Source organism: Homo sapiens, chromosome 3, assembly GCF_000001405.40.
Source record: "Homo sapiens chromosome 3, GRCh38.p14 Primary Assembly".
Classification (NCBI taxonomy): domain Eukaryota; kingdom Metazoa; phylum Chordata; class Mammalia; order Primates; family Hominidae; genus Homo; species Homo sapiens.
In genome coordinates, this window is record NC_000003.12 from 194,243,881 (window position 1) to 194,269,902 (window position 26,022).

The following is a 26,022-nucleotide window of genomic DNA, read 5'->3' on the forward strand; positions in this document are numbered from 1 at the left end:
ACCCCGTCTCTACTAAAAATACAAAAATTAGCCTGGCATGGTGGCACATGCCTGTAATCCCATCTACTTGGGACTTGGGAGGCTGAGGCAGGAGAATCACCTGAACCCGGGGGGTGGGGGGCAGAGGTTGCAGTGAACCGAAATGGTGCCACTGTACCCCAGCCTGGGTGACAGAACAAGATTCCATCTCAAAAAAAAAAAAAAAGAAAAAAAGAAAAAAGAAAGAAAAGAAGCTAACCTTAAGCTACATACTTTATGATTCCAACTATATGACATCTGGAAAAGGCAAAACTATGGAGACAGCAAAAAGACCAATGGCTGCCAGGAGTTAGTGGGGAGGGAGGCATGAACAGGTGGAGCACAGAGGATTTTTAAGACAGTGAAACTACTCGGTATGAACTGTAATAGAGACACATGTTATCATACATTCGTCCGAAGCCACGAAATGGACGACTAAAGTCCAAAAGTGAACCCTAATGTAAACTATGGACTCTGGGTGATAATGATGTGTCAATATAGGGTTATCAATTGTAACAAATGTATTTAATACCACTCTGGTGGGGAATATTGATCGTGGGGGAGGCTATGCATGTGTTGAGGCAGGAAGTATATAGGAAATTGCTGTACCTTCTGTTCAATTTTGCAGTGAGCCTAAAACTGCTGTAAAAATTAGAGGTTTTTGTGTTTTTGTTTTTGTTTTTTTAAAGCTTGAATCTGGGCAGCCCTCTAAATATAACTACCATTTTACAAAAAATCTAGAGGGCAGAGGAATTGTAATCATGTAAACAAACCATACAGGTGCATTCAGCAAAATCTATACTGTGGTTAACTCTATAGGACAAGTGACCCAGTTTCTTCAAAACAATAATAACAAACAAGCAAACAAAAATGCAAGAAAAAACATTGACGGAGGAACCTATAGGGAGGTCTTAAGGGACTTATCCACCAGTTAAAATATGGGAACCTCTTTTGGGTCTCAATTCAAATAAAGAAAACTAATTTTTCTTAATGTATAAGAAAATCTTGGAAATATGAACAGTGACTGAATGGTCAATGATATTAAGGAATTATTGAATTACTGTTAAAATATTTTAAGTGGCCTAATGATCTTACGGTTAGTGTTTTCTGGAGACTCTCTGTCTTATTGAAATAAAGAATAAAGTCTGGGCGTGGTGGTTCACACCTGTAATCCCAGCACTTTGGGAAGCCAAGGTAGGAAAATTGCTTGAGGCCAGGGGTTCAAGACCAGCCTGGGCAACATAGCAAGACTTCATCTCTACAAAAAATTAAAAAGTTATCTGGGCATCATGGCACATTCCTATAGTCCCAGCTGCTTGGGAGGCTGAGGTGGGAGGATCACTTGAGCCCAGGAGTTTGAGGCTGTGGTGAGCTATGATGGTGCCACTGCATTCTAGCCAGGCACAGAGTGAGGCCAGCTCAAAAGATAAGTAAATAAATAGAAAATAAAGTATATGTACATATGATGTCTGGGATTTGATCTAGAATAATTCAGGGTGTGAAGGGGATGGTGATGGTCATGAGTTGGTAATTAATAAAGCTAGGTAATGGGAATTCCTGGAAATGTATTCTAATATTCTTTTTACTCTCACACAGTTGAAGTATTCTACAATGGAAGGACAAAAAAAGGAAAAAGAAAAGAAAAGAAAACCCAATCAAGTCTGTGGGTTTGAGATATGGGTCCCTGAGAAAGGATTCTGTCCAGGTGGGACTGGGACATGCCATGTCCCATGGGAAGATTTGGGGAAAGTTACTTAGCTCTCTTTGCCTCTATTTTCTCATCTGTAAAATGGGGGTTGGATAACAGTGCATTCCTCACAGGGCTGCTGTGAATACCCAATGACTAAATAAATGTAAATCAGATATAACAGGGCCTTGCGCGTCATGGTAAGTGCCATATAACATTTGCTATTAAAGCATATCAAGCACCCTGAAGTACCCTATTGCATCAACCCAAACTAAATCTCTACAGAACCCCACAGCTCAGACATCACCTCAGTTAAGCCTCCTGATAGCCCTTGGAGATAAACCTTCTTCTTACTCTCATTAGGCAGATAGGGAACCTGAGACATAGTCCATGGACATGCAGCTAGTTAGTGGCCAAACCTGCACCAGGGTTAGATCTCCTGACTCCATCCCAAGCCCTTTGGAGGCACCAACGCCGCCCTTTAGGGGATGAGTCAGCAGCTGAAATTAGATCTTTAGCTTTGTGTGATCAAAAACTTCATTTTGTCTCTTTGCCTGTTGTGACCAGCACCCCATCCCTGGGTAGGGGATGGTAACCAGACTCAAATGGAGCTAATAGGTGTCTCTTAGTCCCAGTCTGGGCAAGAGGATGGCACAGGGCCTAGGCAACCCTTTGCCCTAGAGTTTGGCCCCAGTCAGGCCTCCCTCCTGTGGCCAAGGAGTTTGTCGCAGCTAAACACTGGGTGGGCCTGAGCGTGGGGCTGCTGGTGGGGGCTAAGGAAGTAAAACAGACAGGAGCCACTCCAAGGCTGTAGCTCAGGATAGAGGTCTCCTCCAGTCTCCAGGGAGCCAAAATGCAAGTCTAGGATTTCAAAACTAGCCTCCCACAAAGGGAGAAGTCCTTGGGCTGCAATAGCATTGTTCTTGTTTGCAATTTCCTTTCCAGGAATAGGCTTAGGGGGCTCTGGGATAGTTGAATGTAAAATAATAACAATGATGAAACCTGTGATTTGTTGAATGCTACACACTGCGTGAAGCACAAAGGACATTTTTCTCACTCAGACATTCCTTATTCACAATATACTGTGAAGTAGGCGTTTGTTTTTATTCAAACAACACAGAAGTTTAGAAAATAAGTCATGAAAGTCTCCCTCCACCATCACCATCACCAGACCTGCCCTCCAGAGGTAGCCATTGTTTACAATCCTTCTGTATTCTTCCTGACATTTGTCTAATTTAATCAACGTTATATATACACACCCACTCGTGTGTGTGCATATGTATACACATACACACAGTTTGTTTGTTTTTATAAAAGTAGGATTATACCTGATTCAGCAACTTGCTTTTTCCATGTATGCATCTTTTCCCAATCCTATGCATATAAATATATGAGACTACAAGGAAATCTGAAATAAGCAAAGAAGATTACAGGGTTTCTCCAAGAGAAAACTATTTATTGTTGAGAGCAGACCCTCTGGATTATCTGATTCCAGCCTTTGGGCTAGTTTACTGCTCTGTAAGTTTTAGGGAAGAGAGGACACACAGTGACCCTGAATTGTGGACCCGCAAATGAGCTCCATCCACCCTCCTACACGGGGCAAAAGCCAGATCATTGTGACCACTTGAAAATCAACATTCCATAACCATAAACACATCTGTTCTTTGGATTCTTCTTTGAATCAGTTGTAACATCGCTGGTTCACTCATTCACAATGATAACGTGCTCATTTTTATCTATTTTAGAATCACGATTTCTAACTTGTTTTAAAACCATTTTTTAACAACACGCATTATTTTCTCTTTGTATAGATGGTGAAATCCAGACTTTGAAAGACTGAGCAAATTGCCCACAGCAACACTGTTGATAAATAGCAGAGTTTGGATTCAAGCGCAGGTCTGCAATCCTGCTTGCGCAAATTTCAAAGGAACGGATACTGGGTATCTTCCAGGTACTAGACCAAACATTTAGTGTATGTTAATTTGTTTAACCCTCCCCTCAACCTATGAAGTGAGTGTTAGCCCCACCCTTATAGAAAAGGCAACTGTGCCCAGAGCGGTGGAGGACTGCGCTCCAGGATGCAACCAAAGCCGGGTGCACAGCAGCCGGCATGGCGCCAAAACTGAAGCCCTGAGCTGCTCTGCGGTGCTACCCTTTGTCCCTCCAGACTCTCTTTTCCTTCATCTGTTTGTCAGTAAACCGAAGCCACCACAGTTTGTCATTTGGATGATTTTCGGTAAGGTAACATTGCCCAGAAACTTTGGTTCCTGGTTTTGAAAGGAGCCAGAGGGAGCGTATGCATTTCCCAGGGGTGCCATAACAAACTACCATGCACTGGGCGGCTTAAACAACAGACACGTGTGCTCTCATGTGTTGGAGGTTAGAAGACCAAAGTCAAGGTGTTGGCAGGGCCGTGCTCCCTCGGAAAGCTCCGGGAGAGAATCCTTCCTTGCCTCTTCTAGTTTCTGGGGTTTGCTGGCAATCTCTGACATTCCTTGGTTTACAGATGCACTACTCCAGCCCTCCCTCTTCCCGTGGCATATCTGCTGTGTGTCCCTGGGTGTCTTCATGTCATCCTCTTTCTGTGTCTGCTTGTCTCTGTGTTTATATTTCCCCTGTTCTAAGGACACCAGTCATATTGAAGCAGGCCCCATCTAAGGGCCTAATTTTAACTTGGTTAAATCTGCAAAGACCCTATATCCAAATTAGGTCACATGCCGAGCTCCCAGGGGTTAGGACTTCAATGAATCCTTTCGGGGGTTGAGAGAGTAACACAGTTCAACCCGTATCAGGCAGCATATTGAAGTTTAGCCTCTACCAAGATGAGCTCTAAGCATGCCAGTCTCACAATCAGCTCTGTGGAGAAGGGGCCCTGTGGCCTCACAAATTTGGAAAAATCCTTCATGTTAGATGCCCTGGTGGTAATTCACAGGTATCATGAGCATGGTGACATGCTGGAAAGGACTGCGGCAAAGAAACCTGTTGACTCGAAGTTGGCATTTCCCAAACTTATTTGAGCATGGGAGCTGCGGGGGTGATGTGGTGGTGGCGGTGGTTTGAACAGTGTTCTGTGGAACACACTTGGGGAAACTCACATAACCAGAGCATGACTTTGAAGCCAGGAAGGCGTAGACTGGCATCGTGACTCTGCTATTAACCGAATATGTGACCTTGGGCCATGAATTTCCCTCTCTGAGTCTCGATTTCCTCATTTCTACAATAGGAATGAAAATTTCTAATCAATTACTGAGGGATAAGTTCACTGCTAAAACAAACAAACCCCAAAAAGCATAATGGCTGGGAAACAATAGAGTATAAGTTCATTTTCTTGCTCAGGACAGGGCAGAGAACATGCTGTCCGGGCAGTCTTTCTCCACACAGTCATTCAAAACCCCAAGGCGAGAGATGCTCTGCCATTTTAAGTTTGTAGCTTCCAAGGTCATGGTGGGGTTGCCCCTGTTCCATCCAGGCGGAAGGGTTGGAGCTTGGAGACTGCTTCCTGGGAAGTTTCTAGTGGGAGGCTCTGGAGTGGGGCAACCCACTGCACTGCTCACATTCCACTGGGCAGAACCCGATCCTAGGGCTGGACTTAACTGTAAGGGGGTGGGAAAATTAGCAGCTATTTCCTTGCAGGAACTCAACCCTAAAAGAAGGAGAAGTACACCCTTGCAGTGGACACCTAGCCCTCTTCTAGTTTCTTATAGTTTATTCTACTTTGCAGGTGTGTTCTGAGGGTTAAATGAGGCTTTTGACATAGGCAGCATCCTTAGTATCACACACAACTAAATACAGGGCCAACAGTTTGAAAATGGAAAAAGATATGAATGGGAAGCGCCTTGAAGGATGAAATAGGAGCCAGGCCCTGGTGCACAATACAAGTGTGGGCCCCCCCGCGCCTTTCTTACCCAGGCAACCTGATGGCCCCGGTCTGGTGTGTGGTAGGAAAAGGGGAGTGAAATCCTCAGGGTGCCATTCAACCTCAGCAGCTTCTTCCCATGCTTCCTTTCCAGCCAGATGGAGAAGCTGCAGCTCCAGACTCTTGACAGCCGCACAACTTCCAAGGCAGTGGCCCCGCGGGCTGCAAACCCCACCTTCCTGCAGTTGCAGAGCCAGCTAAGAGGTGGGCAGCATGCCAGGCCCCATCAGCAGCCCCTGGAGCACACACCAATTGCAGATGCTCAGGAGACTCGGGGGAAGGAACGGGGTTTTCACCAGAACACCACAGGCAGGACCTCCCAGCAAAGGCCTCCAGATGCTGTGAAAACCTAAGGCTCGTCCTCCTCCTGGCTTCCCAGGTTACCCAGCCACAACACACAGGTGAGAACCATCTCAAGACCTCCCCACTTTTGGGCTCCCTTACCCTGACTCATCGGTCGTCAAGGGACCAAAAGGGGTCAGTAGAGCAAGGCCCCTGCCTTCAAAGAATGCATGCATTTTTTACCTTCATATTAATTATTGAAAAAACCGTACCTCAAATCACACCCCCAACCTCTCAGCATGAACAAGCTCCAGCAGACTTCTCCCAGCAGCCCCTCCCGCCTTTCTCTGCATGTAGGTCGGCTTTTCAGAGCTGCCATCAATGTGGACATAAAGCCCTGCTTTCCACACTCCTCCCTCCGCTTTGTATACACTTTCCCATGCATCTGGGTCAGCCTGGAGCTGAGTATTTCACAGGGCAGCAAAATATACAGAGGCATATTTTGTTTTAGAATCTTAATACCCAGAACATCTGGGTAATACTCAGACAACTGGACAGATTCTTGCTGATGCTGCAAGTCTCCAAATACGGTCCCTTGCAGAGAGAAAATGCTGTATTTTGCATCTGTACCTAGGCACATGGGTTTTCTCAAGCATAGTGGACTTTGGAGTGTGACAGTTAGTGATTTCTCCCCGGGAAGTGGCATGACCTGTAGGAGTTACTGTTGGCTGCAGCTGCTGGTGCAGCCCAAATTATTTATTGGTTTTGATTCGTGCACCGTTCCCTGCGTAAATTAAAATGTGACATTATTACACCCTCCGAGAGCCCATCGGCGACCTTGAGCACTCTCCCCCCACTCTGCAGCCATTATTCAGCATAATTTGACTGGTTTCAGGCAAGTTGGGAGGGTGGGAAGGGATGGGTGGGGGCAGGGGAAGGCAGAGTCCAAATTAGAAACAGATTTAAAGAGCATTTGCAGGGAATTAGGCAGTGGGCCAGGCGCGCTTGCTGGCAGCATGTGTAACCCCTCTTTAGGGACTGTCAGCTCCTCCCAGGTTTCCACAGCGGATGTTTCCCGGCCGGAGCACAGCTGGGTTTCAGTTGTCAAACCCACAGCCAAGACATCTGAGAAGCGGGTGGAGCATCCATGTGCACGCATGTGTCTGCACCCGGCCATATGCACACACACTCGACCCTGAGGATACTCCCAGCACAGCTCCACACATCCACACCCAAGACGGCACACTCAGGACATAGAAGGATACAGGGGCGCACAGAGAGAATCAGGACAGACACACTTACACAGGTGCACACGCAGACTCCACTTGTGCCCTGCTGACACTTTCTAAGAGGGATTCCAGAGCAGATTTCCTAATCCATCCTCCCTCCCTCCACCTCAAGTCGGGCTGTGTGACATGAGTTAGCCCCTCGACCTCTCTGAACCTCTGTGTCCTTAACTGTTAAGAGTGAATAATGGCAGCTGCAACCGTCAAAATGGGATAATGAAGAAACATGGTGTACACTCTGCAGCTTTGTTCGGATGTGGGACAGGGCGAGCAGGATGGTGGCCGTGATCGTGAGGAAGACAGTGGTGGTGATGGTGAGGAAGACAGCAAACCTTTGGCTCATGGCCTTTCTGGAGGGGACATAAAGCACTTTGCAGTCGTGCTGCTTACTATGATGAAAAGAATGAGAGACACCCATATGGGGAGAGCAGGGCAGAGAAGGAGCAAGGCACCCTTTCCCCAGGGCCCCTGTGGTGGGGTGGGGGACAGCAGTCAGCACCAGCCTGCACAGCTCTGGGCACCTTGCTGCACAGGAAGCCTGACGCTGAGGCCTGGTCAGCTGGCCGCCCAGGAGGCCTTGGGCTGGACTGACGTGGCACTGAGGCTGCAACTACTCTCCTAGCTCTGCTCCGCCACTGCCCCTTGTTGCCCTGCCATTCCTGTCACAGTCCCTCACAGGAGCTCGGCCTTCACCCCACTCTGGGTGAGGAGTAGCTCCTCCTCCTTCTCCTCCAAGCTTCCCTCCAGCCATCCGAATTCCCAGAGTCCCACCCCTCCCTAAGTCCCTCCAGCCTTCAGATGGATCCAAAAGAACCCTTTCCTGGGAATCTACCGTGCACAAATGAGCCCTTGTTCTGGGTGCTGTGGGGAGGGGGAGGGGGGACCGGTGGTCAGAGACCAGTTGGATGTTGCCCCTGCCCCGGGGACATTCACAAGCCAGTGAAGGGATGAGCACGAAACCCCATGGGGACCCGGTCAGAAGATGCCAGGAGAGGGCACAAGCACCGGGTAGACTTTGGGAGGTCCAAGGCCAGGAAAGCATGTCCTACTGTGCAGATCAAGGCGCTCTGCACCAAGTGACCTGTCATGGAGAGGAACGGAATGGGTGGCACCAGCACCCGAAACACACTGCTACATGGGGCTGGCCCATGGATAGCCGCGCACCTCAGAGTGAGCAGTGCCAGAAGCCAGGTAGATTGGGGGTGGAGGGCTGGGGGAGAGACATGAGGCAGGAAGCAGTTAGGCACCAAAGCAGGAGTTTCTAGACCTTCGGTCAACAAAAATTCAAGGAGCACCTGCTTGCGCTAAGTGCTGGAAATGCAGTGATGCGTAAAACACAGAGCCCGCTTCGTGGAACTTAGCATCAAGAGAGAACACTTGACATGCAGACAGGCAATGCCAGTGTCGTGGGATGCGTGCTCCCCAGGAAATGGGCTAGGCATGTGGCACTGGGGGCACAGAGGGACCATCTAATTCAAACAGGAAAAGGGGAGGCTTCTGGAAGATGTGGACAAGAACCCAGGCTGTACGGGGAGCTCAGGAGAGCTGCCAGGTAAAGGGTAAGTGGCGGTGAAGGAGAGAGATGAGACTTAAGAGGTAAACAAGGGTCAGGCCATCCTGACAGGTCTCCCCTGGCTCACTCACTCTCACTCACATCTTCCATTCCGCAAATGGTACGAGCAACCATTTCACAGGTCCTGTGCTGGGTGCAGAGACTGCAACGGTGAGCAAAGCAGACATGGGTGGGTTGGACAAAGGTTGTAACTGGGAATGGAGAGAAACCGGTGGATTTGAGAGCTCACAAATCAACTGTATTTGGGCGATGGTGGTGACAGAGAGGAAATGATTTCAGATGATTCTCAGGTTTCTAGGTGGGTGCCTGGTTGGAAAAGGTGCCCCTTCCTGAGGAGGAAACACAGAAATGGCAGCATGTTGAGGGACCTAGGGGACATGCTGACAATGATGAGTCTGCATTGGTCTTGCTTGTTTGCAGGGCTGGGACAGGGGCTAGGTGGAAACTGATGGCCATCCAGATGAGAGCAGATCCCCAGATGAAGATACAGGGAGCAGTGGCAAGAAGGTGGCAAGAGATTGGCTGCCCAAACCCCAGTTAAGAGGAGTAGGGGTTAGGAAAGAATTCCAGCCCGAGCTGGGGATCTAGAGTGCTGAAGGCAAAAAGCCAGCCTATTCCAGGTGCCTCAGGTACCAGGATTGTGACAACAAAACAATGCCAGCCCCTTCTTGCTGGTGGACTGGTCAGGCCCAGCTGCAAAAACCCTCTGTCTGGATGAAGCTTGCACAGCGGAACACCACCAGCACCTACACGGCATATTCTCCTGTACGTTAGGCTTCCCCCACCACCACCACTAGATCCCACACAGCACTTGGCACAGGGTTGGTCAGATAGTAAGTGCTCAATTAATACTCTCCTGGGAGCAGATAGACTTTCAGCCAAAAGCAGGAGACTCCAGTGATGAATGCAGCATTAGACCCTTACTGGGCCCTCACTGAGTTGCCTTTGAATTGAATTGGAGCTGCTGGTCTCCTTTAACCACATTAGGAGAAAGCCCCATTTATTAAATACCTTCTCCCCGCCCTCCATAAAGATGGCAGTCTTCAGTGACAACCTTTAGTCTCTAGAGTTTAGGTCAGAGACTTCAGCTTACACTCTTTGAAACCCCAGGCATTTGACCTACAACTGGATTCCCTAAAATACTGCCATGTTGATGAAGTCCAGGCTGACTGTTTAAAATAAATACTCACATTCAGGCTGAAATTGAAGTCCGGGAACAAATGAGAACAGATAATCAATCAGAGATGGAAAGAAAGCATTTTCTGTGCTAACGTGGACCCCCTTGGGAGGGGCCTCATTTGAACAGGGAAGTTTCAGAAGCGTATACCAAAGAAAGACTATTTAATCAGCGAAGAGGACAACGTGGAAGGCAAACCTAGAGTGACTGGGTCATGATTTTTCCTGCTGAAAAGCAGGTGGATGCTCATAACATGGGGTAGATCTCATACAACAGGACAGAAAGGCTATGCGTGGCCAGCTGCAGGAGTGCCCTACTCAGAAGCACAGTCTCCTCCCCTGCACATCACGGTGCGTGTCCTGCACTGGCACCTCAGAGCCGCCACCCCTGCCATTCACTATGGCACAAGGCACAGCGTCAGGGCTCCTCCTTCAATCCCAGGGCCATCCTTACCCAGCAAGGCTCAGCTCGGCTGGTCTTCTAAGGCTGGCAACGAGGTAACTGAGAGGGAAGTGACTTGCCCCAGATCTCCAGTTTAATGGTGGCAAAGCTGAGATAAGAACCCTGGTCTCTGAGTCCAGCTCTGATGCTGCTCCCCATTTGTGCTGTGAAGAGGAACTGCAAGCAAACTCAAGCTCATCCATCTATGTTTCTCTCCAAACAGAAAATTCTTTATTCCTTGTCATCATCTCTATCACTCTCCAAGGAATAGATCTATCTTGAGTCATGATTAGGATGTATTTTGTGTATACAGAAAGAATATTAGAGAAACGACAATAGACAGAGGCGTGGATTCCACGGCATAAATACTTCACACTTCTGGTTAACTGCAAGTCAAATTTTGGCCTTGTTCAATTTATTTTAAGATAAAAACTAATCTTGTAAGCCAGACGAGGTGGCTCACACCTGTAATCCCAACACTTTGGGAAGCCAAGGCAGGCGAATCATTTGAGGTCAAGAGTCCAAGACCAGCCTGACTGACATGGTGAAACCCGGTCTCTACTAAAAATACAAAAAAAATTAGCGGGGCTTGGTCGTGCATGCCTGTAGCCACAGTTACTCGGGAGGCTGAGGCAGGAGAATCGCTTGAACCTGGGAGGCGGAGGTTACAGTGAGCCGAGATCACACCACCGCACTCCAGCCTGGGCAACAGAGCAAGATTCTGTCTCAAAAAAAAAAAAAAATATATATATATATATATATATATAATTTTTGTAATACATACCCTATTAAATGTATCACTGATTATTTTATTTTTAAAAATAAAAAAAATTAAGTATCACATAATTGGATTCACAAATAGATTTGCATTAAAATATTCAACTTAATATTTTCCATTTCAAAAACAATAAAGTAAATGGAAAAAGTATCTTAAAAAGAATCACAAAAATATCTCTTTATCTCTTTTCAGATGCTGGGTCTGGGACGGCTCCACTGGAACCTGAGATGACCTGAGGGTGTCCCAGTGATATAACATATGAGGAAAGCAGAAACAACTAAGAAATAGACTCTGAATGTGGCAGATTCTAGAACTGAGGTGAGCAGCCAGGACTTGCCTGACATGCCCACTGGGAGTACGGTGCTAGCAGCCTGAGAACAGAGCCCAGCCGCCACGCCACCAGGATGGGAGTGGGCCCGGCGGACTTCCTGCCTTTTGGTCAGACAGACTGCCTTCCTGAATTACTAGGTCCAGGAAGTGTGGTGACGGGGTGGGGGCGGGTGGAGAGGTTGCACGTGTCACTTACCACCCCCATACGGCCCTCTTCCTGACTGTCGCCTCCCTTCCTCGCTTACAGACCAGTTACTTAATCTGCCACATGACGAGATGGTATCTGGGATCTCTAACGGCTCTGAAATCCCACAATTCTATAACTGGTCTTAGACACAAGACCAGTAAGAGATAGGCGAACCCCGGCCCCGCCCCGCAGTTTGCTCCATGTGATACACAGTTCACACTGAGTGCTAGCAGTAGGGGAAGAAACAGTAGCTGCTCTGTGTTGAGCACTGAGCCTGCACTGAGCAAGGTGATGCGTGTTTCTAGGCATCGTCACATTCTGTGCCCATGTGGGTGCTCCTAGCACCAGTCAGAAGATAGAGCTTAAACAGGTGGAGTAAGTTGCCCAAAGGCCAGCCCCAGTTTCCCTGAATCTCATCATGCTGGACACTGGACTATTTCTGGAGGTTTAAGGCTGAGAAAATCTAAGTCTGTATCCCCTCACACTCCTCCTTACACTGGTGTCCCTGGGAGAAACCTCGACATTACTCCCAACCTCGCTTCTCCCCAAGAGCAGGATGATTTGTGTAACTCATGAGTTTGGGAGAAAACCCGCACCTGTGGGGCTCGATCCCTCTGCCTCTTGGAGCAGAAGGCGGCCTTCTGTGCTGGGCTCCGTCCTGGGGGAGGTCCGCAGCTGGCCATCTGCGCCAGGCCCTAGCAGATAATAAAGCTTATCTGTCCCAGGTGTGATGTATTAGCAAGCCTGCCTGGCCGTACCTCAAGCTGCATTTTCCTCCAATTTGCCAAGAAAGGGGACACTTTCTCTCAGTTGGTTCTGGACTCTGAAAGAAGAAAGGGTGTTGTTATTCATCCGGTTTCCTAGAGCCCCACCATATGGACACCTGGTGCAGCCCTGAAGGGAGGGATGGCAGCAGGTTTAGGGATGGAGACATCTCAGAGCCAGAAGAGACCTTCTAGCAGCCCAGCAGAAATATAATGAAGCCACACAGGTGACTGTAAATTCCCTAGCAACAATATTAACAAATAGAAGCAGGAAAAATTAATTATAGTAATACATTTTACTTAGTTCAATAGAGCAGATGATCATTTCAATATGTGCTCAGAGTGCAGTGTGGCTAACGGCTTCTGTCATGGACAGTACAGCCTTAGGGCCTCCTATGCCTGAGGGGGTCTGCTCCCTTTGACAATGTCCCAGTGCAAAGACTTCCAGGTGTGAAGAGGTCTCAACCTTCTGAATCACTCCATTTAGTGGTGGGCATTTCTGGTTGTTAGAAACACCTCATCCTCCATTGGTCTCCACCCCCACTCAACTTGCTTCCATCTCTCTGAGAGACAGTCAGAACGGAACACATTCCTCTAGAAAGGTCCTCAGTCTTTTCTGAAATGCCTATCTCCTGTCTTTCACAGGCTGCTGCCTCCCTGTGTCATTGCCTAACATTGGTATTCTTTGGTGGGACAAAGTTTTGGTGTTTTTCTCACTTGAGAATATTATATTTATAACAGTTGTGGACACATGTTGTTTTTTAACTACCCAGCATCCAGTCTTCCTAATTTAGAAGAACCCCAAAATAGGTGAAAAGTACAACCCCACCTCTGATCCCGCCTCTGACCCCGCCTCCTGTCACAGAGGCGGAAGAGGAGCAGATCTTCACTTTCCACACCTCAAGGTACTCAGCCAATCACCTGTTCATGCCTGAGATTGTGAATCCAATAGGAAAGTACAAGGACATGGAGATTGTCAGAGCTGTTGTATGATGGTGGCAGCAGAGTCAAGAGTCCAGCGGAGAGGCAGCAAGCATCCCAAGGATCCCATGACTGAGAACCAGCTTCTGTGGTTTAGAAGCAAGGCGCCAACTGGTATGAGAAGCACAGACAGATGGTGCCCTGGGAACACTGGCTGTCACGTGCTGGAGGAGGTTCCTCAGCAAGTCACCTTCCCTCCATGGGCCTCTGTTGGAAAGAAGGCATCAAGATCATTCCAGCTATGATTCCTGAGCTTTTAATATATTCTTTCTGATGATTAAGAAATATATCTGTCGAGCATGGCAGCTTACGCCTGTAATCCTAGCACTTTGTGAGGCCGAGGCGGGTGGATCATGAGGTCAGGAGTTCAAGACCAGCCTGACCAACATGGTGAAACCTCGTGTCTACTAAAAATACAAAAATTAGCCGGGTGTTGTGGTGTGTGCTTGTAATCCCAGCTACTCGGGAGGCTGAGGCAGGAGAAACACTTGAACCCGGGAGGCGGAGGTTGCAGTGAGCTGACATCACGCCACTGCCCTCCAGCCTGGGTAACAGAGTGAGACTCCATCTCAAAGAAAAAAAGAGATATATCTGCATGTGACATGGAAAGAGGCTCAGAATATCAGACATTTTACTACAGATCTTGAAAACAGCTCTCCAAAACTAACTCCAGATCCACCCTGGGGTTCTCAACTCCACATGGTTTTCTAAAATTGAGACCAAGACTAAGATGAAGAGCTATGCCTCGCCCTGATGCTGCCAGGACTACTGTTCCCATGACTACCTTGAGGTGCAGGCTGAGACCCTGGGTGTCTGTGGTGGCAGAGTACAGCAGAGGAGTTGGAGTCAAAGCAGTTTGGATCCTCATCCCAGCTGGGCCTCCTGATGTTGGAGGGCCCTGGACAAAGGGTTTTCATTTGCTGGGTCTCAGTTCTCCACATGGACAACAATGCACTGTATGAGTTTTAAGGTTCTTTTCAGCTCTGACTCTCTGTGAGTCTGAATCCAGTAGGAGCTATTATTTCCTTGATTCCTCCTTACTGTTTTGTTCCCTTCTTCTCTGGTTTCTGTATTAAAACTTTATATGTTTATGAATGGATAATCAAAATGTGGTATATCCATATCATGGAATATTATACAGCCATGAAAAGGAATGAAGTACTGATGCATGCTACAACATGGATGAACCTTAAAAACACTAGGCTAAGTGAAAGAAGCCAGTCTCCAAAGACCATATGTGGTATGATTTCATTGATATGAAATGCTCAGAATAGGCAGATTTGTAGTGACAGAAAGTACATTAGTGGCTGCCTAGGGCTAGGAAGAGATGAGGAGTGACTCTCAATGAGTACAGGATTTCTTTTGGAAGTGATGAAAATGTTCAAAAATTGATTGCAGTGATGGCTGTACAACTCTGTGAATATATGAAAAACCCTTGAATTATACAATTGAAATTGGTGAATTGTATGGTATATGAATTGTATCTGAATAAAGCTGTTAAAAAAACGGGGAAGAAGTTTAAGAGAAATCCAATATATTTTAAAGCTCTGCTCATGGCATTGGAGGTTAGCCTTGAAAATTAAATCCACTCACAGTCCAACAATTCTATGTTGTTTGGGTTTTTAAATTTTTCCCTATTATTAAATTGATTCATTTGAATGTAACTACTTTAAAATCACCCCTTCTCCGAAGGTCTAATTAGCAGTCTAATGGGATCAGAAAAAGGAAAAATGGGATCTGACAAGTTTCTATGCTTGATTCCAGAGAGTTCATTGAGGTAGTTTCTCTTTTCTCTAGACTCTTTTGTTAGATTCTACTGGAAATCCTATCTGAAGAATTATTATAGAACAGTGCAGCTCATACTTTAATGTGCACACAAATAACGTGGAGATCTTGTTAAAATACAGATTCTAACTTAGGAGGTCTGGGGTGGGGCCTTGGAGTCTTGAACCTCTGACAAGCTCCCCATCGATGCTGATGCTGCTGGCCCATGGACCACACTGCAAGCTGCCAGGCTCCAGAACACTGTCTAATATGACCACTGAGCACTTGCAATGTGGCTAGTCTGAATAGGGATGTAATGTAGGTGAATGAATGAGAGAATATAAGTGATGTCAGTGTAAAATATATCATAGTTTTCAAAGACTTAGTAAAAAAAAAGAACATGAAATAATTTTTATATTAGTTGGACATTGGCATAATAATATTCTGCCCTGGGCGTGGTGACTCACGCCTGTAATCCCAGAACTTTGGGTGGCTGAAGCAGGCAGATCACTTGAGACCAGGAGTTAGAGACCAGCCTGGCCAACATGGCAAAACCGTGTCTCTACTAAAAACACAAAAATTAGCTGGGCATGGTGGTGCACACTTGTAATGTCAGCTACTCGGGTGGCTGAGGCACGAGAATCACTTGAACCCAGGAGGTGGAGATTGCAGTGAGCTGAGATCGTGCCACTGCACTCAAGCCTGGGCAAGAGAGCAAGACTCTGCCTCAATAATAATAATAAAAATATTCTGGGCACATTAGATTACATAAAATGTATTATTTTTAAAATTACAAATTTTATTTGTGAAAGAGACTGGTAGCACCCCTCTCTCAATTATTCAACTCCCCTTTTTCCTTAATAACAGATTTCCAGCTGGGCAAATGGTAGCCACATGGAATAAAGACTATATTCCCCAGCTTCCCTTCCAGCTAGGTGAGACCATGTGATATAGTTTGGACATTTACCCCAGCCCAAATCTCCTGTTGAATTGTAATCCCCATTGCTGGAAATGAGGCCTGGTGGAATGTGTTTGGACCACGGGGGCAGATCCCTCATGGCTTTTGGTGCTGTCTCCGTGATAGCGAGTTCTCACGAGATCTGGTCATTTAAAATCATGTGCTCCCCCTCACCCCGCCCACTCTCTCTCTCTTGCTCCTGTTTTCTCCATGTGAAGTGCCTGCTCCAGCTCTGCCTTCTGCCATGACTGTAAGGTTCCTGAGGCCCCTCCAAAAGCAGATGCTACTATACTTCTTGTATAGCCTGCAGAACCATGAGCCAGCTCAACCTCTTTCCTTATTATAAACCCAGTCTTGTGTATTTCTTTACAGCAATGCAAGAACAGCCTAATAAGCTGTGTGACTAATCACTGCATGAAACGGAGGGAGAGAGTTGTGCAGCTTCCAAGAACCTTCCTTAAGAGATTATGTCAGTTCACCCCTTGCCTTCTTCTTCTTCATTCCTTCCTCCATCCTGCTGACTAGAATGAAGAGATGTTGTCATCTTGGACCATGAGGTCAAGGCCATGAGTGGACCAACAGGATGTAAATGTCATGAGGGCAGGGATTTTGTCTGTTCCCCATTCCCCAGCTGCTGTGACCCCAATGCCTAGTCGGTGCTAAATAAATATTTGCTAAGTGAATGAATGAACGAACAAGCCTGGGAGTCCGATACTGGGGAGGCAAAGTGAATGAATGAATGAACAAGCCTGGGAGTCCGATACTGGGGAGGCAATGTCAGCCCCAGACCACCCACCTGGACTTTTACATGAGTGAGAACCAAACTTCTACCTTGTTTAAACCAACCCTAATCCTATCAATACAATTTTTAAAAGTCCTATCATTGTTTTAGGCCATATAAAGTCTACCTAAAATGTTAAGCTAAACCTCGGTAAATTGAATCACATTTCCAATGCATTGTGATATTCATTTTTTAATGTTGTGGATTATTTTACAGAGCCAAAATCCATCCACTTGTATGTTTAATAAGTTTAGGTTTTAGTAATTTGGGTTTCTAAAACCAAAATCCACTTCCAAGAGTACTTTCTTACTAACAATGCAAAGCACTGTAAAAATTCAATCCAGCAATGATTTTCTTAACAGCCCTAGAATGTAATATAAGTGTTATTAGAATGTAATATAAGTGTTATTAGAATGTAATATAAGAGTTAGTATCAAAGGCAGCATCTTACAAGATAGAGATGAGCTAATTTCCTTTCCCAACTCAGGGAAAATTTTCCATTTTCATTCTGTGCCCATTACACTTCACTGCTCTTAAATTGAATAAGAAGTTTACATCGGAGACTAGGAGTTTACATAGGAGTGGCAGATTTTAAGCAAAAACAAGTGTTTTTTGCTTTTTAAGAAAAACATTTCATTTCATTCTCTCAAGTTTTCAGCCCTGCTGACCTCTGAGAAGAATTACACCTTTATACATTGCTTTCTTAAAGGAAAAAAAAAAAAACTTTGAAAAAAAAAAGGGCTTGATTAATTAACTTTGGTATGCAAACCGGTGGGGGTAAAAGTTCAGTCAACACTGTGCAGAGCACCATGTCCGCATCTCCTATTCTCAGGAGAACAAGAGGAGCCGGCAGGATTTCAGTGAACCTGGAGAGGGCAGGTTGGACTACTGGCAGGGCTGGGGGTGAGGGTGGGGAGAGGCAAACAGAGAGACCAGGATGGACCAACCCTAGGTGTTTGCACTTGCGACCTTTCTCAAGGGCAACGAGAGTTACTATCACCTGTCACAGGAGGACACAGAGGACACCAATGTGATTTTTCACCCTTCCTGTAGCCTGGAGGCCTTGTTCTTCATTCCAAACTCACTGGACTGAGGGCTTTGAGGTCACAGAGGCCAAAAATCAGTTGTGGGTCATGTTTGTCTCATGAGCGGTCACACACTGACACGCCAGTGAATGCCAGCTTCCACTGGAGGCTCCTGGGGCTGCAAGGCTCTGTTCTGTGACACAAGAGGAACCCCAGAAGGCCACTTGACTCCAGTACAGCATCCTTACTTGCCACACCATTACCCTTCCAGGCTGGAAGCCTCATGTTTGCCATGAGCCCATTGCCTGGGTATTTCTGATCAAGGAAGCTTTTTATCAGAAGGCATCTGATATCTAAGTTTCCTTTTAGTTGAAAAAAAAAAAAACTTTTCTCAAAATATACCATTGGTACAGATTTTCAGAGCTGAATTCCAAACAGAACTGAGTAACATGCCTTTAAACAACGTGTTTAAAAACTCTGGAGTCACAAGATACATTTAATGACTGATTTGTGATATCTTGCAGAAGACGGAAATTCTGGAAGGGAGACGAGACATAAATAGCATTAAAGTGCAAGAGATAAGAATATATATAGTGAGATCCATCTGCGAGGCTAAAAATCATGTGCCAAGCAAAGAATGCCAAAGGATGGAGCTGGAAAAACCAGTGGAGAAGGCTCTGGACATGAAACTGGACATTGGCCTACTGTGAATGGGGAGCCATTGATTATTATAGAGGCTGAGCAGGACAGAACCAGATTTTTTTCTTGAAACATAAATCAAATGACAAAGTGGATAAATGGATGGCGTAGAGAGCTACGAGAAGCAGCTACTGCAAGGGCACAGATGCAAAACTCGGAGCAGGCAGGACCATGGAGCTGCTCGGAAATGGTGGCTACTTTGATGGTTGCTGGTCCTGAGGTGAAGGGAGCAATTCTGATGCAGAGGACGTTCAGGTTTCTGGCTTGAGACCTTGGGAGATGGAGAAGAAAGAGCAGTTTGAGAGGCGGAGGGTGAAGATGAAGAGGTCATTTTGGACAGTGTGTTTAGGTGCCTACAAGAGTGGCAATGGAGGAGACACTTTGGCAAGACTGCCTGGGTTTATAGGAGCCTCCTTTTTCCAGATTAAGGGCTATCTTTCCACTTATTCCCACAGTATCTTCACGTGTCACAGGGCAAGAAGATGCTGAGGCCCAACCTGGAACTTGACCCTCAGCGCAAGTGGCTTTCAGTAGTAACAATGCATTCTTCCAGGTAGCAATTCCCACCACCTCATCAGCACCTACTGTGTACCCAGCCCTGGGCCCCAAGCTTTCCACTCTCTGTTTATCCTATGACAACCCTTTGAGTGAGGTATCACCGCATATCTCAAATGGGCAAACTGAGAGCTAAGACTGAAAGAGCCAGTTACATGCCCAAGTTTTCACAGCTAGAAAGCGGCAGAACTGGTGCTCAAACCAGGCCTATGCGTTCCCTTCTATGAGACTGCACTCACCGCATTATATCACCGCAGGCAAAGGTCAGAACGGAAGCCTAACCAGTTCTATAACGGTATCATTTGCAAAACTCATTCATTCATACATTGAATTAACACTGAACTCCTATTAATATATAGGAGCTAGAAGGGTATATGTACTAATATATCTACAAAATATAAATGTGGTCAACCTGACATGGGTGCTGGGGTAGAGATAATGCTTGCGATTGCATAAGCAAAAATAACAGTTTTGGCCTTCGAGGAGTTCTAAAGCAGTGGTCAGCAAACTATGGCCTGGGGGCCAATTCTGGCTCATTACCTGTTTTTGTGAATAAAGTTTTATTGGAATCACAGCCATGTTCATTCATTTACATATTGTCTATGGCCACTTCTGTACCGCAATGTCAAAGTTGAGTGGATGCCACAGAGATCATAATGTCCCATAAAGCTTAAAATATTTATCTATCCCTTTATTTTAAAAACTGCCGATTCCAGGACTAGCGTCAGAACCACAGAGGCTATGGAGTACAATAAAATGTAGATTATTAAAAAGGCACAAATAAAGAGCTGTGACCAAGTCGAGGAGAGCGACTAAAGCCACAGGCAGGATGTACTCAGGAGGAGGTTTTCAAACTGAGCTTTGACAAATGAATGGGGTGTTAGCAGCAGACTCCAGTCCGGAGCGCATCCCCCAGGCGGGCCTGCACATGAGCCAGAATAAGGTGGAGGATGCTTAGATGCGTGGGAAGCAGTCATTCAGGTCTCTTTCCAGAGGAGCAGAAGTCATTGTGGTGGGCGGGACTCTGCCACCGCTCAGCTATGTGACCTTGAGCCAACCCGCTTACCTCCTTGTCCCCCTGACACCAGCCATCTCTCACTGGCCTAGCAGGCTGTGAGAAGCAAATGTGAGGGAAAAAAATACCTGAATGACTTGTGAAAAGTTTAAGCTGTCTGCAAACCTGGGGGGTGTTCATGGCAGTTGTATGGGCTGTATGTGCACATAGACAGCCTCAAAGATAATCATGCATAGAACCTACAAGCAAAGGCCGAGTGTGGTGGCTCACGCCTGGAATCCCAGCACTTTAGGATGCTGAGGTGGATGGATCAACAGGTCAGGAGATCAAGACCATCCTGGCAAACATGGTGAAACCTTGTCTCTACTAAAAATACAAAAATTAGCTGGGCGTGCTGGTGCCTGCCTGTAATCCCACCTACTCAGGAGGCGGAGGCAGGAGAATCGCTTGAACGAGGGAGTCAGAAGTTGCAGTGAGCCGAGATTGCACCACTGCACTCCAGCCTGGGAGACAGAACAAAACTCTGTCTCAAAAAAAAAAAAAAAAAGAACTTAAAAGAAAAAATGTCAGCCCTGGATGGAAAGCTGCCTTTGTCCCTGGCTGAGCACATACTATTTTAAATAAATTCATTCAGTGCAGCTTGGTAATTTTCGAAAGCGTCATCCTTCAAGCTGGGCATGTGTGGACGTCCCGCCCCACAGGACTGCAGTGCGTGCTCCCCGGGGTCTGTGCTGGAGGACTGCAGTGTGTGCTCCCCGGCCCGGGGTCTGTGCTGGAGGACTGCAGTGCGTGGTCCCCGGGGTCTGTGCTAGAGGACTGCAGTGTGTGCTCCCCAGCCTGGGGTCTGTGCTGGAGGACTGCAATGCGTGCTCCCCGGCCCGGGGTCTGTGCTGGAGGACTGCAGTGCGTGCTCCCCGGGGTCTGTGCTGGAGGACTGCAGTGTGTGCTCCCTGGCCCGGGGTCTGTGCTGGAGGACTGCAGTGCGTGCTCCCCGGCCCGGGGTCTGTGCTGGAGGACTGCAGTGCGTGCTCCCCGGCCCGGGGTCTGTGCTGGAGGACTGCAGTGCGTGCTCCCCGGCCCGGGGTCTGTGCTGGAGGACTGCAGTGTGTGCTCCCCAGCCCGGGGTCTGTGCTGGAGGACTGCAGTGTGTGCTCCCCAGCCCGGGGTCTGTGCTGGAGGACTGCAGTGCGTGCTCCCAGGGTCTGTGCTGGGGACTGAGGACTGGACCAAGGAACACACTTTGTCCGGCGCGATCACAAAGGGGTCTTTGCGCATTCTCAGCCAGCTGGACTCGCGCTGGTAAACGCTGTGTTCCCTGCTCCCTCGCCCTTCCTCCAGGAAGCACCTCCTTCTGCCCCAGTCTGGATGATGCTTTTCCGCTCACACCCTTGAACCCACATTCCCAGCCCAAGGGGGAGTCCGCGGCCCCGGCAGTGCAGCCTGCAGCACCTGGCTCGCCTTCCTCTGCCCTGGGCCAAACCCTCAGACGCAAGAGAAACCAGAGCTTGCTCAGCTGGCCAGCACTCGGGTTCCTGTCCAAGTGTTTGTGGCTGGGCTTCCTGCTGACGGAAGGGCGGCCTGCAGCTCTCCTCTGACATCCCGAGAGGTGGCTCCCAGGGCCTGGCCGCCAAGCACGTCCAGCTGGCACCCGGCAGAGCTGCCGCGGTGGCTGCACTCTGCGCAGCTGTCCGTCGACATTCACAGGGATGCTGAGGTCAGGCTGCGAGAACTGTAAAGGGGATTCCTTTGGGAAGAGAGGAAGCTGTGAATCAGAGCAGAAACGCTGGAGCTCAGGCTTGTCCTGGGCAGATGGCCAGAGCCTGCCTTACATACACCCCACCTTCCAGACCGACGGACCCCCTTGCTCCACTGAAGCCCGCCTCTCTCACCACCTGAGAACCTTTGCCGGTGTCCCCTCATGAGTCTCTACCACACAGCTTCCCTCGGCCCCAGGTGCACCAGAAACAGAGCCCAGGCACCCAGATTAGAGCCTGTCCTGGGCTATCAGGACCTCATGAAATTTAACTTCATGGAGAACCAGCTTCCCTTTCACAAGTGCAACTTGGAGAGTGAGAATACTTGCTAGGTATAATGTGTTTATTTTCCCAAGTTTCAAGGGCTGTGACATAGGAAACGGAGTCAGACTTACACTATATAGCTCCAGGGGCCTGAATAAGCATAACAGAGACAGAGTTTAAATAAGGAAAAAATAACCCACAAAATAGGCTGTCTCAGAAGGTAGTGAGCATCCTGTTATCAGGGGTATTCAACAGAGATCGCTTGCAGAAACTTTCAAGTGCTAGACTTTGAACTCTGTGAGGGGAGCACCCCACATCTGTCTCCATTCCCTGCTGCAGACACAGCACCCAGCGCAGTGCCTGACAGTTGGTGCGCCGAAGTATGTGTGGAAGGGAGGAAGAAAAAGAGGGAAGGGGATAGAAGATAAAGATGGAGGGAGGAAAAGAGTCTGAGTACTTTGGAGAGCAAACTCTTCCTTTAAGGGAGAGGTTGGACAAGCTGGCTCTTGAGTCCAGCTGTCTCTGATTCCATGGTTCTGAGGTCAGGTTTATAGGTGCCCCCTCCAAAGGGTGTTGTGATATTAGCTGCAAAACAGAGCTTAGCAACTCTCCTCGGAGAGTGCTTGTTTCCAGGCAGAAGCCTTCTATCAGAGCACTCATCCGCAACCTCCCTGTCTTCCATCTTGTCATTCACTGCTACAGAACGCTGAAAAACGCAGAGTCCCCTTTGAAAGATGCAGAGCCCGAGGCTCCAAGAGGAGTGAATAGTCTGAGCTGGGACATCCTCAGGCTCTGGGTTCCAAGTCCAGCACCCCCTCGTCCCATGCCTGTCAGTCTGTCTCACTGCTGGCCTCAGGTCCTTCATCCTTGAAGACTGATGTTATGTTATAACAGAATACCTGGTGTTTGTTTAAGCACCAGAAGTTCCCCTATCTTTTGAGAAACGCACAGAAAACAGATAATCCTCCAAAAATTATCCTCTTTCCCTGCCTCACTCTGGACAGAGAAAATGTTTGGACGTTACCACAAATTGCAATCACCCATAGAGGATTTGGGAATATCTCCAGAGGCAAGTTGACTTTTCAGGGGCTAGTCCTCTGGATCGCCCCGTTGGAGGGATGCGACATTTTTTTTCCCCCTGGGACTTTTTTCTTTTTCTTTTCTTTTTTTTTTTTTTTTTTTTTTTTTTTTTTTTTTTTTTTGAGACTGGAGTGTCACTCTGTTGCCTAGACTGGAGTGAAGTGGTGAAATTTTGGCTCACTGCAACCTCCACCCTCGGGTTCAAGCAATTCTCCTGCCTCAGGTCTTTTGTGAAGGTCTGACTAGCTGACGACTAGGTAGCTCCTGTGCTTGTTTGGCCTCAGATCCACGCCCTGCCCTCCCTCTGCTCTCTTTCGTCACAGGGGACCCACCCCTGCAAGCTACATTTGCCAAGGTCCCCATCTCCCACTGCCAGGAGACTGTGAGGAGGAAGAGGGAGGAAGCTGTCTCCCTTTATCTGACTGCTCCTCCTCTGGGGTCCCAGCTCCTGCCAGGGAATCTCGCCCACGGTTTTAGCTCTCACTGGGTTCTGAAAACACCACCTCCTCTCTCTGTCCGCAGCCCAGGAATGGTGGCGTCTCCCTGTCCTGTGCTCTCTAGGTCACCTTTCCCCATGTTTGCACTTTCATCTTTCAGTACCTTTCCAAGCAGTTCCCCTCTATTAAGGTCTCCAGAACGAATTATGTTTTCTACCTGGACTCTGCCTGTCTCCGTGTCACAGTGAACTTGTTGAGGCCCAGCCCAGAGAGGGTTAAAATGACAGAAGTATGGGACAGTTCAATCTCAACACCGCATTGACGGTCAGAGAGGCAGGGCCAGGAAGGAGGTTCCAGGAAGGAAGATCAGGTCTGTGTTGGCCTGTGCGTGCGGAGGCCGCCCAAGTGCAGCCTTGGCTCTGTGTGGGGACCAGGGGGCCTGGAGCCGGCCCCAGCTGTCCTCCCACAGGCCCCTTTCTTCTCACGCTCAGCTGCACGAGGCCCCACCAGGCCTGGCCTCCTCCGACGCTATGACGCAGTGTCGGTGCCTCTCACGTCCATGGGCCAGACCGTGTGACTCAGCCTCTCAGGGCTCTGCGCGGGCCAAGCTTCCAGGTCCACGTCACCTCCATCAAGGCAGGAGAGGAGGGCCAGGTCCGCATCACCTCCATCAAGGCAGGAGAGGAGGGCCAGGTCCGCGTCACCTCCATCAAGGCAGGAGAGGAGGGCCAGGTCCGCGTCACCTCCATCAAGGCAGGAGAGGAGGGGCTTCCTCAGCGACCTCAGCAAAGGAAGCAGGTGTCTTTGCTCTCCACTCCCAAACCCAGGCCATGTGGGATGCAGGAGAGAGAGCCACAGACTCTGCCTTCTCCTCTCCCACCCACCCCTAAGGCCTCTCACTCCCTCAGGCTGATGGGTTCTGACTGAGACTTTTTTCTCTCTCCTTTTTTTTTTTTTTTTTTTTAGATGGGAGTCTTGCTCTGTTGCCCAGGCTGGAGTGCAGTGGTGTGATCTCGGCTCACTGCAACCTCCAACCCCCAGGTTCAAGGGATCTCTTGCCTCAGCCTCCCGAGTAGCTGGGATTACAAGCATGTGCCACCGTGACCAGCTGATTTTTGTATTTTTAGTAGAGATGGGGTTTCGCCATGTTGGCCAGGCTGATCTCGAACTCCTGACCTCAGGTGATCCACCCACCTCGGCCTTCCACCGCACCCAGCCCTGACTGGGACTGTTAACAGCTTTACCCAAACAGGGACCGAAGGAGAGGCTGACAGTGTTATTCAGGAGCACAGATGCACCAGGTAAGAGGGAGGAAAGCTGCACCTTGGCTTCTGCTACGTGCCAGCCACTGAGCTAAGTTCTGGCATGCATTTCATGTCCTTTCATCAGTCTATAATGGGAGAGAGTCAGTCCCCTAAAAATGCAGCAGGCCCCATTCAGTACATCTTCACTGGCTACTATGCATTCTGCAGGGTTGAGTAAACTATGGGTCCTGCCTTCCAGGAAAGTTAAGGACATAAAGTTTGGAATCACCCAAACCTGCCTGGGTGTGAATCCAGACTCCTACAATTAGTGTTTACGTGACCTTGGGCAAGTGATTCTTGTCCCCCGAGCCTCAGTTTTCTCATCTATGAAATGGGCATCATCATAATCTCATCTCATTGAGTTCTTGAAAGATTCTCTGTTTTCTCATCTATGAAATGGGCATAATGTTCTCATCTCATTGAGTTCTTGAAAGATTTGTGTAAGTAACAAGCTTAGCATGGTGCCGGGCACAAAGTGAACACTCTTCAACAAGTCTGGGCTGTTTCTTGTTGAATTAATGAGTCTAGGATACACGTTCAGTCCTAAGGTAGCACCTGGGAGTAGGAAAGCATTTGGGAAGGCCGCCCCACTACTTCCGTCAACCCTGAGAAGCCTTCTGATCCTCACATAGGATAAAACGCAGCTCTTCCTTTCTCATGTTGGAAATCTCCAGTGACCTGACCTTGGAGGCATCCCACACGCCCTCAGTCCCCCGGCGGGCCCTGCCACCACCCCTCAGCGTTGCCGGATGTGCGGCTGAGGTCCAAGGTTTGGAGAGTTTCCGGGACTGGCCGGGTCACCCTGCGGCTCGGCCGTGTCTGGCAGCCCCACCCTTCCTGGCAGCCAGGCCCTCTGAAATTCCGCCAGCACCGGGGGACGAAGAAGGTCTTGCTAGGATGGGGGAGGGCGGGAAGACGGGGAGCACGAGCCGGCTTTGCCCTCCCATCCAGCCACGCGGAGAATCC

At 48.2% G+C, this 26,022-nt stretch overlaps 2 long non-coding RNA genes across 2 annotated transcripts in view, besides 1 other annotated feature; one reads left to right on the forward strand and one right to left on the reverse strand.

Annotated features, from left to right (window-relative positions):
- The window catches only part of LINC02036 (long intergenic non-protein coding RNA 2036), a 47,138-nt gene extending 40,865 nt beyond the window's left edge, over nt 1–6,273 (reverse strand). Inside the window, exon 1 of the long non-coding RNA NR_125403.1 lies at nt 6,176–6,273. This is a non-coding gene — a long non-coding RNA (long intergenic non-protein coding RNA 2036). The remainder of the gene's footprint in view (nt 1–6,175) is intronic.
- On the forward strand, nt 3,768–13,892 carry LINC02037 (long intergenic non-protein coding RNA 2037). The gene is made up of 4 exons (NR_125402.1): nt 3,768–3,941; nt 5,716–6,022; nt 11,351–11,476; nt 13,305–13,892. It is a non-coding gene; the product is annotated as a long intergenic non-protein coding RNA 2037 (long non-coding RNA).
- Nucleotides 11,860–11,909: a silencer, noted in NCBI's record as "silent region_15019". NCBI's record gives its function as "represses an Ori minimal core promoter by ATAC-STARR-seq in GM12878 lymphoblastoid cells {active_cell/tissue: GM12878}" and the evidence as "EXISTENCE:reporter gene assay evidence [ECO:0000049][PMID:35858748]".
- Nucleotides 13,893–26,022: the final 12,130 nt, after the last annotated feature.